Below are 16,737 nucleotides of genomic sequence, written 5' to 3'. Positions count from 1 at the left end.
GCACAAAGCCCTGTGCCCAAATCAATGGCAGAGCTGGCCCGAGCTCCTCTCCAAGCTTCTGCTGAGCCCACATCAGCCCCAGGCAGGCCAGTGCTGGGACCCTCGGCAGGCATAACACTAACAACAACAGCAACAGTGGCCCTGTGTGAAAAGCATCTCCAAAACTCCACCCTGCACTGAGCTTTGTGCAGCCTTGTCACAAATGATCCTCCCACAGCCCAGCATATGGGGATCCTGGGGTGGGTACTGTGGTCCCCATTTGCAGGCTCAGAGCTAGGGTGCAAACACAGGCTGTGTGACACCCAGGCCATGAACATGCCACATCCTCCCAGACCCTGAGGACAGTGAAGACAGGAGCCAGGGACTTAGTGACTTGATTGAATTCAGGTGGGAAATAGGCCAAATGGGTTAAACAACAACTGAGGCCCCTCAGCCGCTCAGACCTCCCAGCTCTGGGACTTTTCTGAGACTCCTTTGCCTCCTAATACAGTGGGAATCCATTGCTCCCTGGACTCAAGTGAGCTACAAACAGGAAAATGTGCTCCAAGCACATCCCAGGCTTGCTAAAGGGATAAGCATATCCTTGGCCCAGGTGTCCCCGTTCCTGAGACAGGAGTCAGGAGTGTGGCTCTGGGGCCCTCGGGCCTTGCCGTGTTGTCTGTGTGTCTCTCCCATTGCGCTCTGTGCTGCTCAAGGATGGTTAGAGCTGCCCCATCAGACTCGGAGCTCCTCAAAAGCAGGGGCTGTGCTTCCCCATTGGACGGAGAGCCCCTGAAAACAGGAAGAATCGCATAGTAGGAAAAGAAGTCGCTGTTCAAATCCTGGCTGTGTACTCTGGGGCTGGTGATTTAACCTCTTCATCATGGGAGCCATAAATAAGCCTGGCCCTGCTGACCTCAAGGGGTCGTGGGATCAGTGGGATCAAATGTGCCTCATCTGTCACAAAATGCCACAGAAATCCTCCTGGGGTAGGGGACAGAGCATTGAACTGGGGGTCAGAATGACCCACATTCAAATCCTAGCCCTGCCTCTGCCGTTCCCTTGTCTGTAAAATGAGAAGGTAACATCCCAAAGTCTTGAAGCCATTACATGATTGAAAATATGCTTGGCCTAACGTGTCCAAGCAAAGACGGCTCTTCCTGTTAATTGCCAATGAACAGTCCTCTCTTCCATCAGGTGAGTTCCAGCAAGACTCGCCCCAGGCCCGCCCCATCTCCCTTCTGCGGCCACAATCGCCTGCCTGCCTGCCCACCTCAGCCCTCAACCCAGAGCAGGGCGCAGGGCTTTGCAAAGCTTTATCTGCTTCACCCTTTGAGTGTAACAGTCTGTCGTCTTCCCCAACAGCCCCAGAAAGCCTGGGGTATGGCCCCATTTTCCTGAAGGAGGAACCAAGGCTTAGAAAGGTGATTACCTGCCCGGGGACCCATAGCCGGAGCATGGCCCTGCCCATGATGCCCAAGCCCTGCCCGGCCCCGGTGGCCACGCCCTCAGCCATCTCCAGATTCTCCCCGATGACTACAGTTGTTTCTAAAGACAAGAAGGAGGGGCACTTGGCCAGGTGGGGACAGAAGGAAACGGAAAGAGACAACCCTCCCCAGTCCCAGCCTCCCTCCCCTGTCCCCAAGAGAAACAGGGAAGCACTGCAGACATCATACCGGGCTGATGCGCATCTGGGCTCTCGCAGGGGACGTCGTCATAAATCACATCCTCTTCCAGGGCGGGGAAAGTGAACCGGTCAACTGGGAGGGAAGTGGGGAGAGAGAGCACCACCGTGGGCTGTGGCAGCCTGGCCAGAGGTGCTGCAGATGACATCAGGACTGCACCAGCTGGTGGCACGCAGCACCCTCCTTTCTGATAGCCCAGCCCAGCCCTTAGCTCCGCCAGCTGCCCTCAGGGGATGCCGGCTCCCTCGCTTCTCCCCGCCCCCCACCCCCTCCAAGGCGCCCTCCCAGTGACTGCACAGACCCCACCTGGCTCCCTGCTGCCCGCAGGCCTGCCCATCTGGCTAATGGACAGCTGCTCCCGGCCCCTGCAGGGAGCATGACGCAGTCCAGCACCTGTGCCCTGGCCCTAGCATCCTCAGTCACCCAGGACCCCGGGGCTAGACCCTCGTCACTGAGCAGTGCTAGGACTTGGAAAACCAGCCCCCACCCCTGATGGGAGCCGGTCCTTGACCCACAGGCCTTCCAGGAAGAAGTCACGAGACCCACTGGCCTGTGATGCTTCCCTAGGTCCTGGGCCCCTAGAGCCCTGTCAGAGCCCCCTCTTCCTCCCCACACCAGCTCCCAGGCCTGCCCACCTCTCTCTAGACCCCTAGTTCCCACCCTCAGACTTCCTGTCCTACAAGACCACGATAGCCTCCCAGCAGGCTCCACCCTTCCCCACCTGGTCTCCTACACTGCCCCCACCCCAGTGCAACAGGACTGAAAGGCAAAGGCAGCCACATCACTGGCCTTCCTTCTGTGGCTTCCTATTGCCTTGAGAACCTTAAGCACTGCCTCTGGGGCCCTGAGGAGCTGCAGGGCCCGCAGCCACACCTCACCCCATAACGCTCCCCCACACCCCACAGATGAGGCCCTTGCTGCTTCCCGGGAGTCAGGGGTCCTCCTGCCCTCAGGCCCTTGTACAAGTTGGCCCCTCTGTCTGGGACCCTCTTTCCCCCACCCCTGCTGCCTCCCTCTCTTTCTGGAGGGCTCATCTGGGCAGGCACCTTCCCATGGCAAGGTGTCTGGTTCTGTTAACAGAGGGACCTCATTCTGGTCCCCAGGGCACTCCCACCACTGGGCCGCCCTGGCCTGTTGTGGGAACTTCGTAAGTATTTGAGGAGCAGATGAAAAACTGGGTGTGTCAACTGATCCTGGACCTTGGCTCTTGGGGGCGGTGGTTGGTCCTCCAGGGCCACAGAAGCCCCCGGTGAGGATGAACCCTGGGCTCACAGGAGCCCACATCAGCTCTCTTGGGTTAGAAAGACTAGAATATCCTGGAGCTTGCTACCTGGGGTGGGCGGTGGGCCGGAGGGGAGACTTACTGCGACGGGAACTCTTCCGCTTCCAGCTGGAGTGCCGGGCCCCGGAGAAGGCTGCGTCCGCTGCATCCCCATTGCTCACCCAGGCTGGCACCCTGCGGGCAAGAGATGGCACTGCAGAGGTGTCCAGAGGTGGCTCCCAGAAGCCTCTGGCAGCCCCTCACCTGGTCAGCGGGACATGATGGGCAAAAGTGGGCTGAGGGCCAGGCTGCTGGGGAGACCTGAGGTGGAGTTGGCCTCAGACAAGCCCCCAGGCTCCTCATCTTTAGAAGGCGTGCATAAGGTTGGGCTGGCACTTCACAAGAGCATGAAGATCAACCTTGTTCACAGTGATAAGCACCAAGCACTCTCCGCAAGGGGGCTGTCTCGTCTCTCCCTAGTGCAGACTCAAAGGGAACCTCCACCTCTCCACTCTCCCACATACAACAGAAGGGGCAGGCTGGGGGATCCCTGCCTCTTGAAAGAAACAAGGACTTGGCTGGACACGGTAGCTCATGCCTGTAATCACAGCACTTTGGGAGGCCAAGGCATGTGGATCACTTGAGGTCAGGAGTTCAAGACCAGCCTGGCCAACATGGTGGAACTCCGTCTCTACTAAAAATACAAAAATTAGCCAGGCGTGGTGGTGCATGCCTGTAGCCCCAGCTACTCAGGAGGCTGGTGCACAAGAATCACTTGAACCCAGAAGAGGAAGGTTGCAGTGACCCAAGATCATGCCACTACACTCCAGCCTGGATGACAAAACAACACTCCATCAAAAAAAGGAAAAAGAAACAAGACTTGCAAAGCTTCAAAAGACTGTAAGTGGGAGGTAGAGCTTAGTCCCTCATGCACACTTGAGGATGGGCTGGCCCAGTGAGTCCCTTCCACAGAGCAGACATGCAAATGGGAAACAGCAGAGGAGCCCAGCAGACACGTCCCGAACCAAGAGACCCAGGTGAGCATCTGTAGAGACGCCACGCAGGTGCCATGTGTCCTGATAAGACGTCATGAAATGGGTACTTCACCTCCATGGTGTTTTTATCCAAAACGCATAACCCCAGTCTAATCACAGAGAAGACACCAGACAAAATCGGAGTGGGGAACATTGTACCGAATACCTGGCATTACTCCTCAAGACTCTTTTTGTTTTTTTAGAGTTTTTTGTTTTTTGTTTTTTTTTTTTTTTTTTTGAGACAGAGCCTCGCTCTGTCGCCCAGGCTTCAGGGCGGTGGTGCGATCTCGGCTCACTGCAACCTCTGCCTCCCGGGTTCAAGCAATCCTCCCACCTCAGTCTCCCAAGTAGCTGGAATTACAGGCATGCGCCACCACACCCAGCTAATTTTTGCACTTTTGGTAGAGATGGGGTTTCACCATGTTGGCCAGGTTGGTCTCAAACTCCTGAACTCAAGTGATCCACCCACCTCAGCCTCCCAAAGTGCTGGGATTACAGGAGTGAGTCACCGCACCTAAACATCACTCCTCAATATTCTCAAGGTCTTGGAAATCAAGGAAAGACTGAGAAACTGCCACGGGCTGGAGCAGGCTACAGAGACATGACAGTTAAGCGCAACGTGGGATCCCAGATTGGATCCTGGGTCAAAAAATAAACATAAGTAGGAAAACTGATGAAATCCACACAAAATCTGTTTAGTGAATGGTAATGTGCCAACGTAGGTCTCAGCTTTGACAACTGTGCCAAGGCCATGTGAGATGCTCATAGCAGGGAAGCTGGATGAGGGGTATGTGGAGCTCTATGTTCCCTCTTCAGAACATCTCTGAAAATCTAAAGCTATTCTAACGTGAATTTTTTTGAAGTCCAGGTTCAAAAAAACAAAACAAAGACCAAAGACCACTTATGCCAACCTAGAGGGCAGAGGCCTTAGACTGTCAAGAGAACAGCACCGTTGCCAAAGAATCAACTTGAACTTCCCTTCCTGGCACCCGAGCCTGTAGCAGATGAAGAGTAGGACAGGGCAGGGGAAGAGGGAGGGGAGGAGGCTGCGAGGAGGGATCTCTGCTGTTGAGCACCTCCTGTGAGCCAGGCCCTCTGCCTCACCTTCCCAGCACCACACAGGATCCTGGCATCTTCTGCATTCTGCAGGGAAGTAGAAGAACCTGCCCAAGATCACTCTGCCAGGGAGTGGCAGGGCCAGACCATGAGGCCAGCTTGTCTAGCTCCCAAGCTGGGCTCTGAGTGCCACCCTCCACTGCCTCTCAGATAATAAGCAGAGCGGTGGTGGTGGCGAGAATGCTCCTGCCTGTCCTATCCGGTGCAGCAGCCACCAGCCACGTGGCTATTGAGCACTTGACATGTGGCTAGTGGGACTAAGGAACTTAATTTTTAACTCTATTTGATTTCAAGTAATTTAATTTTAAATAGCTACACATGACTAGTGGCCACTGGACTGGGTGGTGCAGGTCTAAGTCACCTGCCCTATTAGAGGAGCAAGTGTCAGCTCACATTTCACTGCCAGAAGTCAACAGTGTCACCCCAGGGCAAGGAAGGCAGCACATTTGGTCCTGGGGAGACACTTTCCACCAATGACAGGAAGTAAAGGCCAAGAGAGGACAGGGCTTCTCTGGACCAGGAAGGTGGGTGATGGGCTGATGGGAGCCACCTGAACCCCGATTTCTAACAGCTGCTTCGCTGAGCCGCCACCTCCTCAACACAGAAACATCCTGAAGGCGCCACATCAGTTGCTCGGAATTGCTCAGACAGAACCAAACTCTTCCGGCTGGAACAGACGTGAGCTTAGAAGAGGTTGGCTGGACAGTCTCCCGGCCACAGGTCCTCTTTGCTCTGATATGTGGCCATGACAGTGACCGTGACAAAGCATCCGCCATGCACTGCTTGCTCTGCTTTACATGTAATTGCACGTTTTTTTTTTCTTTTTCTTTTTTTTTTTTTGACAGTCTCACTTGGTCACCCAGGCTGGAGTGCAGCAGCACGATCTCAGCTCACTGCAACCTCTACCTCCTGGATTTAAGCAATTCTCCCATCTTAGCCTTCCAAGTAGATGGGACTACAGGCACGCGCCACTATGCCCACCTAATTTTTGTATTTTTAGTAGAGATGGGGTTTCGCCACGTTGGCCAGGCTGGTCTCGAACTCCTGACCTCAGGTGATCTGCCCACCTTGGCCTCCCAAAGTGCTGGGAGTGAGCCTACAAGCCCGACCTGCACATTTAATTTTGCAGGAACACACCGGAGGCAGGTGTTGTTACCCCTATTCTACAGGTGGGGAAACTGAGCCTCACAAAGTTTCAATTACCCAGAAATCACTCAGCTAATTAGTGGGAGCTGGGATCTTACACTACGTCTACCTGCAAAGCTTCTATTGTTTCAACCAGACCACCTGGAAGTCGAGAACTTGCATGTAGACATTCACCTACATCACAGGTTTGCTGTGGCATATGGTTACCTCAGATCTTGCCTGTTTAGCTACCATTTTATAAAAAAAAAAAAAGAGAGAGAGAGAGCAGTAGCCCTCGGCACACTCAGAGGCTCAAGTTCAAGTCTCCATCTGCTATGGTATGAATGTCTGTGTTCCCCTGACAAAAAAAGTCCATGTGTTAAAATCCTCACCCCCAAGGTGATAGTATTAGGCGGTGGGGCCTTTGCAGAGGTGATTAGGTCATAAGAGCAGAGCCCCCATGGTTGGGATTAGTGCCCATATAAAAGAGGCCCTAGAGAGCTCCTCTGCCCTTTCTACCATGTAAGGACACAGTGAGAAGGTGTCATCTATGATCAGGAAATGAGCCCTCATCAGACACTGAATCTGCTGGCACCCTGATCTTGGACCTCCCAGCCTTGTGAACTGTGAGAAATAAGTCTCTTAGGCACAGTGTGGTGGCTCACGCCTCTAATCCCTGAACTTCGGAAGGTTAAGGTGGGTAGATCACTGGAGGTCAGGAGTTTGAGACCAGCCTGGCCAATATGGTGAAACTCTGTCTCTACCAAAAATACAAAAATTAGCCAGGCATGGTGGTACATGCCTGTAATCCCAGCTACTCAGGAGGCTGAGATGGGAGAATCGCTTGAACCCGGGAAGCGGAGGTTGCAGTGAGCTGAGATCGTGCCACTGCACTCCAGCCTGAGGGACAGGGCAATACTTCATCTCAAAAAAAAAAAAAAAAAGTTTCTCTTGTTTATAAGCCACCCAATCTATGGCATTGTCTTACAGCAGCCCAAATGAACTCAGACACTGTCCAAGAGAAAGCGTAACACCCAGCTCAAAGGCTGCAGCACGCTTTAACCGAAAGAATGCAGTTTAACCAAGAGAACACCAGAGAAAGCCCCATGTAAACTGTAAAGGTGACGTGGAGGTGGGCAGAGGCATCACTGGGTGAGGTCAGGCAACTTCAGGAGGGATTTGGAAACACCTGATGAGCCGACTCATAGGCAGGGGGAGGCTCCTCCTCGCTGCACCTTATCAAAACCCAGTGAGCGACCAGCCCAGGTACTGGCTCTGGTGTACTGGGCTGGGGAATGGGGGTCCCCACAGCATAGAGAGGTCACTTCCTGCCCACCCCCACTACCCAAGTCACCTGACCAGCAAGTGGCACAGCGGCAGTTTGAACCCCGGTGATCTATCTGCAAAGCCTTGCTCTCAGGACCACCTCCGCTGCCTCCCTAGACTGGAGCAGGTGTTCCTCGGGCCGATGAGATGGGGAAAGGGCTTCCCAGGCAGGGGAAGAGGAATAAAGTTGGGGGAGCAGGGACACGAGCAACGTTCCAGCTCAAGACACGCATGCAAAGAGGGCACGGCAAGAAATGAGGCTGGGGGCCCCTCCTGTACCCGTGACCCTCCCTGATGCCTGCCAAGGCCCTGGACCCACCCTGTACCCACCCGGAGCAGCCTCTCCCAGCCGCTGTCCATGGAAGCCACGCAGGGCTGCCGTGTCTAATTCTCCCTGTGAACAAACACTCCTTCAGGGGCCTCCGGGTCATAAAAGAGCCATAAAAACCAGTAAGAGGCAATTATCTCACCCTTATCTGAGCTTCCTGCTCTCCTAATGCCTCTCAGCTTGCAAATGAGAGTAAGGCCAGCAACCTGAATGCAAAGGAAAGAAGCTGAATCCATGGTGAGGGGCAGGAGATGGGGAGGAAAAGGCAGAAGCAGATGCAGAAGCAGGGAAGAGAGGAAAGGACCCCTCCCAGCACCCCCAAGCAGCAACCTACATTGCCGGCAGAGGAGTTCAAGTGCACCAGAAGGCCACCTGGTGCGTTTCTGGTCCACAGAGCTCCAAGCACCTTTGTGCCCCACCTCTTCTCTCTCCAAAGAGCAGCAGGGCAGGGAGGGGTAGGTCCCCGTGTGCCACCACGCCCATCTACTTTTTTTTGTATTTTTAGTTGAGACAGGGTTTCATCATGTTGGCCAGGCTGGTCTTGAACTCCTGACCTCAGGTGACCCACCTGCCTCGGATCCGCCTAGTACTCCCAAAGTACTGGGATTACAGGCATGAGCCACCGCGCCGGGCCCCCAGCCTGTTTTAAAGATAAGAAGCCCCACTCCAGAGAATGGCACCCGCCACCCCTGCAGGGGCTGCTACAGGCCCCAGTTTCTCAGTGAACCTCCAAGGGTCCCTTCCCAGAGGCTGCACCATGTGGGTGGTCGGGGAGGAGACCCCCAAAACCAGAACAAGCTAAGGATTCCTGGCCAGCATGGTCCACACGCACAAGCATTCTGGGGCCCTTGCCAGGACAAGGCATAACAAATATGAGAAAGGAAAGAACTTCACCTTTGGGGATGGGACTAGAAAGGACTGGAATGACATTTGCCTTATAAGGCCTCAAGGAAAACCCAAGCTGCAGCACAGGGAGGGACAGGACAGGAGAGTTTGCGTAGGACAGCCCCACACAGTGTCACCGCCCGCCTCGGAAACTCCTCCCAGCATGATGGCCCGATCAAGAGACACGAAGGAAAGGGAAGAACACGCAGCCCAGGTTCAGCCTGCTGCTGGGTCTCTTTTTGGCCCTGGCCACTTGACCTGGTTGTACAGCATGTCAAAGCTGAGGACCTTAGAGAGCATCTGGCTTGGCGGCCCACTAGAGTCAGCAGGGCGCCCCTAGAAGATGTGGGCGCCAGGGCCCCCGCCCCAGAGACTCTGACTGTTGGTCAGGGGTAAGCTCCCTGCAGGCTGCAGCATGCAGCCAGGGTTGAGAACCAGGGCTCCCAGGCGTGAGGGGGGAAGAAGTAAGCACCCCGGGGCCACGACCTGGGATATGACTGTGGCTCAGCCACTTGGCTGTGTGCACCGGGACAAGTTACTGAATGTGGACCAGGGTGAAGTATCAGTCCTACTTCCAGCTGTGAGGATTCAGTGAGATGATGCAGATAAAGCACTTAGCATTTCTCCGTGCCTCAGTTTCCATATCTGTAAAATGAGGCAACACTACCTCCCTCGCAGGGTTCTGGTACGGAGTAAATAAAGAAGGCATGTAAATCCTCTGGCACAGGGGCTGGCACGTGGTATGGCCTCGTGTGTGCTGCTTCCCCGCCCCCTCCTTCCCTCCGCCTCTCCTCCAGGCACGGGGGCCTCACCTGCATGTGTTCCCTCTTCCCTCTGTGGCCGCCCATCCTGTGCACAGAGGGCTTCCAGGACCCCGTGTGTCTCTCCTGTGCCACCCCACACATGGTCACAGATCCCCTTACTGGATGAGTAGAGAGCAGTGAGAAGCCCCCCAGGGGAAGTCTCAGAGCGGCCCTCAGGTGGCATCATATCACAGACCTCAGCAGGGAGTGAGCGTCGAGGCCTCTGGGGAGCCATCTCTGTACAGGTGGCCCCCCACACACATGCTGGGCCAAAGCCCAGCCTCTGGCCTCCTGCTCTGTGGCAATGCACCTCCCTCCCTGACATCTCAGGGGCCCCAGGGCTTGGTCAGACATGGAGAGGCCCTGCACCCCTGGCAAAAATGTATCGAGAGCCATGTGGGTTGTTGCAAAACAATACAAGTTCCCCTGGGGAAATGCTCATGATATGTAATTAGCTTTAAAAAAAAAAAAAAAAAAAAAAAAAGGTGAGCCACGAAACAGCATGTGCAATAAACCACAGTTCTATAAAAACAATCATGCATACTTGCATACATGCCTAGCAAAGAAGCTGGACAGAAACACATCATGGTAGGATTAAAAGTTGCTTTTAGTCTATCATTTTCTGTACTTTCTAATTTTTCTACAACAAACTGTATTTTTTTTAAAAAGGAAGAGAGAGGAGGAGGTAGGGAGGAGGGATGGACTGAAGAGCATCTCAGGTAATGCTAAGCAATGCACAGGCCAGGGAGGGGTCCCTTGTGCCTGGAGTCAGCCCCAGACAGCTCCACACCCTTTGGAGACAGTGACAATGAGCAGCTCACCGAGTAAGCACCTAATCTCTCCCATCTCATTTCATCCCCACCAACAGTGCCATCCGGTGAGTCTCATCACCCTGCTTTACAGAGATTAGCAACTGAGGGGGCCGGGTATGGTGGCTCACACCTATAATCCTAGCACTTTGGGAAGCCAAGGCAGGCAGATCACTTGAGGTCAGGAGTTTGAAACCAGCCTGGCCAACATGGTGAGACCCCGTTTCTACTAAAAATAGAAAAAAATTAGCCGGGCATGGTGGCGGGTGCCTGTAATCCCAGCTACTCGGGAGGCCGAGGCAGAAGAATCACTTGAACCCAGGGGGCAGAGCAGAGGTTGGAGTGAGCCAAGATCACGCCACTGCACTCCAGCCTGGGCGACAGAGACTCCATCTCAAAAGAAAGAAAAGAAAAGAAACTGAGGGTTAGGCAGAGAAGCCAAAGAGCATGTCCTGGGTCATGCAGCTAACATGTAGGGCAGGCGGGATCCAAACCAGCTCTGTGTGGGAGACGGTTGCACCAGAGGGATTAGAACACAGGTTCTGGAAGCCAGCTGGGGTTAACTCTGGCTCTGCTCATCTTTCTCTGTGACCTTGGGCTGATGTCATGTCCTCTCTGTGCCAGTTCCCACATCTCTAGAATGCAGATTGTATCAGCGCCTGTCCTGTGAGAGTGTTGCAAGGATGAATGGCACTGGGGAGGGAAAGCTCTCAGAGCGCAGCATGTAAGAAGTGCTGGGTACATTCAGGCCATTATGATCTGGCCCTAGAGCCAAACACACACACAGGCACATAAAAATAACATGGCCTGGCAGAGCATGTCAGCCCCCATCGCAGTCACTCAGTAAAGAGGTGCTGGGTGAAAGGACAGGAAGACGCAAGGGAAGGGCAGGGGAATACCGGCCAGTCAGCAGAGCACCATCCTAGATGCACAGAGAGGGCCATAGAGAAAGGGCAAACAGAGCCCCTGGCCTGAGGCTTTGAGCCCAAGCACCATGCCTGCCAGCCCAGCCCCACAGACAAGTGACGCTCTCTCCCAGGTCTGGTCTGCAAAATGGTGCCCACGATAATTTCCTCTTTCCAGGGCTGTCGTGTTAGTTTCCTATGGCTGCTGTAACAGATGACCACGAACTTAGTGACTTACAACACAAATCTGTTCTCACAGGTGTGGAGGTCAGAAGGCCATCAAGGGGTTCGCAGGGCTAAAAGCGAGGTTTCGGCAGGGCTGTGCTCTCACTAAAAGCGAGGTTTCAGCAGGGGCAGCTCCAGGGGAGAAGCCATCCCCCACCTTTTCCAGCCTCGAGAAGCCACCTGCATTCCTTGGTCACAATCCCGTCCTCCATTTCCAAGGCCAGGAGCGTGGCATCTTCCCACCTCTTTCTGACTCTGGCCCTCCTGTCTCCCTCTTGTCACAACCCTTGTGGTGCCACTGGGCCCACAGATAACCCAGGGTCATCTCCCCATCTCAAAACCCCTCACTTAATCACATCTGCCAAGTCCCTTTGCCACGCAGCGTCACAGATTCACAGGTGCTGGGGATGAAGACACGGAAATCTCCAAGGGGTGGAAGGGCCATGATTCTGCCTCCCACAGTTGTGAGAATCAAAATGAGATGTAAACTGTAAAGTCCGTGCACGTGTAGGCTGTTAGTATTGTTGCACCATCTCTGCCAGGCACTGGGATAAAAAACGAGTGAGGCAGAGTCCCACCGCTGCAGGGATGCAGGGAGGAACGTCACAGGATTCCTTGAAGGCATATTTATACCATGAAGAGATGTGCCAACCAGGTACCCTGCAAGTGCCTTCTTCAATGAAGAGGCTGTGGGGGTCCTCAAAGGGCCTGGGATCCAAAGGTCCTGGCTCTGATTGGAAACTGGGAGCCCTTGTTTCTACCCTCGGAGAAGGAAAAGAAGGAAAGAAAACACAAAAACCAGCTTGTCCAATTTATGGATTTGGCAAGGGACCTTTAAAGAAAGATTTTTAATGGAAAGAAAGACCTGGTCCCCATAACCCTCCCATGGGGGACTCCATGGGCGGAGAGCCGGTATCTGCCATGCCTCACGTCCCGCATGGACCCTGCGGGACAGGACGCAGGAGGCTCAAATGTTCCGGATTTGGGAAACAGCACATGTAAGGAGAAGCCCAGGATTCCAAACAACTCCAGACTAGGTCTGCGGCAATCTGGGAAATCTTGAAGATTTCCTCCAGACGCTGCGGACCCACTCCGGCCTTGCTGACCTGCCCTTCCCATGAGCCCCTATGTCCCCCACACCTAGCAGTCTCAGAAGCCACAGGCCACCAGCGCCCTGTTTCCATCCTGTGCCAATACTGCTTTGCTGAGCCTGGTCTCCTCTTGCCCTGATCCTCTCAGCCCCTGATACATCCAGGGAAGATGAGTCTCCCTGTCCTCTCCCAGAATACGGCTGCCCCATCACTTCCCCTGGCTCCAGGCCCCAATGAGAGACACTAGCCAACAGGCAGTACAACCATCTTATCCAGAAAAGCCCAGGAAGGGGTAGGCCAGGTACCTTCAGGGAGCCCATGAGAATCCCTGCGACCAGGGCCAGGAGCCAAAACCCTGACCCACAGAAAAGTGCTGAGGTCACAGGGGGATAAAGGCAAAACTAAACAGGAAAAGCAAACAACTCCAGAGGGGGCCAGAGTCCATGGGGCTATTGCACTCAGAGGTGAGGGGTGCAGGCCTGAGTCCAGGAAAAACACAGGAAGCCAGCGATCTGTGGCGCTCACGTTTCCCAGGCACTGCTGGGTACTCAGGGCTGCTCTTTCAACCACGACTCCCCCAGCGAGAGCTCAGGGTGGACATGAGTGCACGTGCTTCAGAGTCCACCAGGAGAAGCAAACCCTGTGGGCCTCAGTAGACAGCTTTGAGGGCAGACAGGCCTAGTCCCAGCCCTGCCATTTACTAGCTCCATGAGATTTGGGTAAATTACTTCAGTTCTCTAAGCCTCAGCTGCTCATCTGCAAAATGGGCATATTCAATAGTACCTGTCTTCTAGGGCTCCTAGGGGTACAAGTAATAAGATAATACAGGCCAGATGCAGTGGTTCATGCCTGTAATCCCAGCACTTTGGGACACCAAGGCAGGAGGATTGCTTGAGCCAAGAGTTCAAGACCAGCCTGGGCAACAGAGTGAGATCTCCATCTCTACAAAAAATATGAAAGTTAGGCCAGGCGCGGTGGCTCACGCCTATAATCCCTGCACTTTGGGAGGCCGAGGTGGGTGGATCACCTGAGGTCAGGAGCTCAAGACCAGCCTGGCCAACATGATGAAACCCCATCTCTACTAAAAATACAAAAAATTAGTTCGGCGTGGTGGCACACACCTGTAATCCCAGCTACTCAGGAGGCTGGGCAGGAGAATCACTTGAACCCAGGAGGCAAAGGTTGCAGTGAGCCGAGATGGCGCCACCACACTCCAGCCTGGGCAACAAGAGCAAAACTGTCTCAGAAAAAAAAAAAAAAAAAAAATAGCCAGGCATGATGGCACATGCCTGTAGTCCCAGCTACTCGGGAGGCTAAGGCAGGAGAATCGCTCAAGCCTGGAAGGTCAAGGATGCAGTGAGCCATGATCACACCACTGCACTCCAGCCTGGGCAACAGAGTGAGACCCTGTTTCAAACAACAACAAAAAGAGATAATGTACACAGAGCACTTAGCACAGCCTGTGGCTCAGCACAGCACCATCAGCACCAGTGAGGTCAGGTGGCTCTAGCCATGTGGCCTTGGGCCACACAACCACTCTGCGCTTCCCTTCCCTGGCCTCTGTCTTGGCCTCTACAGCTGCCAGAGTCAGAATCCAATAGAAACCCTATTGACATGCCATTCATTTGGGGGTAGAGGGGTGGGGTGGTATTCTTTGGTTGGTTTTGTTTCTTTGTTTGTTTGTTTTTGAGACAGAGTATCGCTTTGTCACACAGGCTGGAGTGAAATGGCGCAATCTCGCCTCACTACAACCTCCACCTCCCAGGTTCAAGCGATTCTCCTGCCTCAGCCTCCCCAGTAGCTGGAATTACAGGCACCGTTCACCAGGACCGGCTAATTTTTGTATTTTCTGTAGAGACGGGGTTTCACCATGTTGGCCAGGCTGGGTCTTGAACTCCTGACCTCAGTGGTCCACCCACCTTGACTTCCCAAAGTGCTGGGATTACAGGCGTGAGCCACTTCACCAGGTCTGACATGCTGTTTGCTTTCTCCTTGCTTCCATGGAACACAGACCCTCCTTGTCCTTCTGTCCATCATTCGTTCACCAAGGACGTCTTTGGCACTCACCCCGTGCCTGCCACTTAAGCCATGAGGTTTGGCAGCAAACAAAACATCCCCCTCCAAAAAATCAAAAAGTCCCTGTCCCCATAGAGGCAACTGCTGGTGGAGAGACACACCTGCACACCCCTCCGCCCTCACAAGATCTCTGTGTTGGGGGAGCGAAGAGCCGGCTCTTTTTGCTCTGCTCTCATGTCAAGGGAAGGGACCTCACCAGGAATCACACACCAGGCACTGCCGCACAAGCCTCCCCGGGAGGGACCTATGGAACATTCCACCGACTGCTTAGACGCCACTCTCCCAAGAGCTCAGAGATCATCTCTGAGTGGGCAAAAATCTTTCCTCAAAAAATGTACACACAATCAGATCATTCCTATGAAGCCAGCCACACCCTCTCATCAGGGACCAGCGCATGAGCTCCTGGAGGCAGAGAAGCACGGTGGCCCAGCGCCTGGCCTCGGTGTCAGAGGGGCCTTGGTCTCTCTTCTGAATGAGCATCTACTTATCTACATGGAACCCTGAGCACATCACCTAACTCCTGGGGTCTCCAAGAGGGTAGCTTGAAGGAAGTGAGTGTGCTGACCACCCTGTGTGCCAGCCCTGTACCTCTGCTCAGGGGCTTCCTCAGCAGGCACTCCCCCTGCCCCTCTGCCATCCTGAATGGAGAATTTCCATTCACTCGCTGAGCCAGGACCTGGCCCAGAAGTCTTCCCTGACGACCCCATCCTTGCTCCCCTCCAGTCAGTGTCCCAGCTCCCTGGGCGTCCGTCTCTGTCCCACTCTGACGCATCTGCATCTCCCACCAGACTGAGTTTCTCCACAACTTCACCCCTGGCCCACCCTGGAGATATAAACCCTTGGAAGACTGCAGCCATCACGGCCCTTCCCAGCCCAGGTGCAGGACGAATGGCTGCTGATTCATTTCAGGTCCCTAATCAGGAAGGAGAGGCTGGCCTCTAATTCTCACCTTAATTACATAGTAGCAAGCTCAGGAGAAACCCTCCCCAAGTCCACCCACTCTGGACAGCAAATGAGCACATGAAGGACTTCTCCTCTGGGGGCCTGGGCCTGCAACCTGCATCTCTGAAACCTCCCGTTGGGTGACACCACCCTGAGAATTAGCCCCTCTTGCTCAGTTTGGGGCACCCCAGGAAGACAAAGCAGGGCTCAGACATGCCTCCCCTCACCAGGGTAGTGAGGATTTAAACTCAGGGTTCCAGATGCTTGGGCCATTCATTTGGAGCCTAGACCCCTCCACTGCTTAGGCAAGGAGGCTCTAAACACCTGGTCCTGAGAGGCCTCAGCTCCCACCACCTCCAGTTACCCAATTACCCTTCCAACCCAGACCTGACTTGCAGAAGACAAAGAAGAACTGTGATAAAAAGCAAATGCCTTGATTAGGCACCTACCACGAGGCTGGGCATCTTACCCGATAGCCCATTTTACAGATGAGAAAACCAAAGGGGGACTTGACTGACATGAGGACCTGTGGCCAGTGTGGGGGCCACAGCCAAGACGCAGGCCCTCACCCCAACATCCAGGCTCCTAACCACTAGGCTACACTGCCTCTGACAGGCTCCCAGGCACAGAGGGCAGGGTCCCTAATAGCAACTGTCATAGGAATGGGAATGATATTAACAAGACAAATGGCAACTGCAAAAATAATTACAATGGGCTGCACCCCCCCCACCCTCAAACCCCCCCAACCTCCCCCACTACACACACACACACACACACACACACACACACACACACACACACACACACTGGGGACCCTCCAGCTGTTTGCTTCTCCAAGACAAACCCAACAGAGGGGGTGCTCTCATTGTTTCCCCTTCAGCCGCAAACAGACTGACACTTGGAGAGTTTCTGTGACTCCTCCAAGGCCACAGAGGTAGGGTTTGGAGCCAGGCCTGCCTCCTGCGGTTTCAGAGGTTTGTGGGCAAAATAAAGGAAAAAGTACCATGAGTTTCTGGAACTGACCTCTTCCCCCAGGGCACAGGGCCTCAGTGAAATGCTTTCCTCCTTAGCCAAAGACCAGTCGGGTCCTCTGGGCCTCAGCTCCACCCCATCCCCACCCACTGCCCGGTGTCTCCCTGTTTCCAAC

At 54.3% G+C, this 16,737-nt stretch overlaps 1 protein-coding gene across 40 annotated transcripts in view, besides 2 other annotated features; it reads right to left on the bottom strand.

Moving 5' to 3' along the window:
* The window catches only part of ARHGEF10L (Rho guanine nucleotide exchange factor 10 like), a 184,441-nt gene that overhangs the window by 92,629 nt on the left and 75,075 nt on the right, over positions 1 to 16,737 (bottom strand). For all 40 annotated transcript variants that reach the window (NR_137287.2, NR_137288.2, XR_946686.4 and 37 more), the window contains 2 exons: positions 3,029 to 3,120; positions 1,656 to 1,739 (listed from right to left, as the gene is read on the bottom strand). Coding sequence is in view for 36 of the 40 variants with exons in the window: in XM_024448061.2 (XP_024303829.1) it covers positions 1,656 to 1,739; positions 3,029 to 3,120 (176 nt within the window). In the remaining 4 variants the exon portion in view is untranslated. The remainder of the gene's footprint in view (positions 1 to 1,655; positions 1,740 to 3,028; positions 3,121 to 16,737) is intronic.
* Positions 14,778 to 15,343: an enhancer, noted in NCBI's record as "H3K27ac-H3K4me1 hESC enhancer chr1:17916399-17916964 (GRCh37/hg19 assembly coordinates)". NCBI's record gives its function as "activates a minimal SCP1, AML or CMV promoter by ChIP-STARR-seq in naive H9 embryonic stem cells {active_cell/tissue: H9 hESC(naive)}" and the evidence as "EXISTENCE:reporter gene assay evidence [ECO:0000049][PMID:30033119]".
* Positions 15,910 to 16,475: an enhancer, noted in NCBI's record as "H3K27ac-H3K4me1 hESC enhancer chr1:17915267-17915832 (GRCh37/hg19 assembly coordinates)". NCBI's record gives its function as "activates a minimal SCP1, AML or CMV promoter by ChIP-STARR-seq in primed H9 embryonic stem cells {active_cell/tissue: H9 hESC(primed)}" and the evidence as "EXISTENCE:reporter gene assay evidence [ECO:0000049][PMID:30033119]".

This window comes from Homo sapiens, chromosome 1, assembly GCF_000001405.40.
Source record: "Homo sapiens chromosome 1, GRCh38.p14 Primary Assembly".
In the NCBI taxonomy this organism is placed as follows: Eukaryota; Metazoa; Chordata; class Mammalia; order Primates; family Hominidae; genus Homo; species Homo sapiens.
This window is presented reverse-complemented; position numbering and strand designations above follow the sequence as displayed.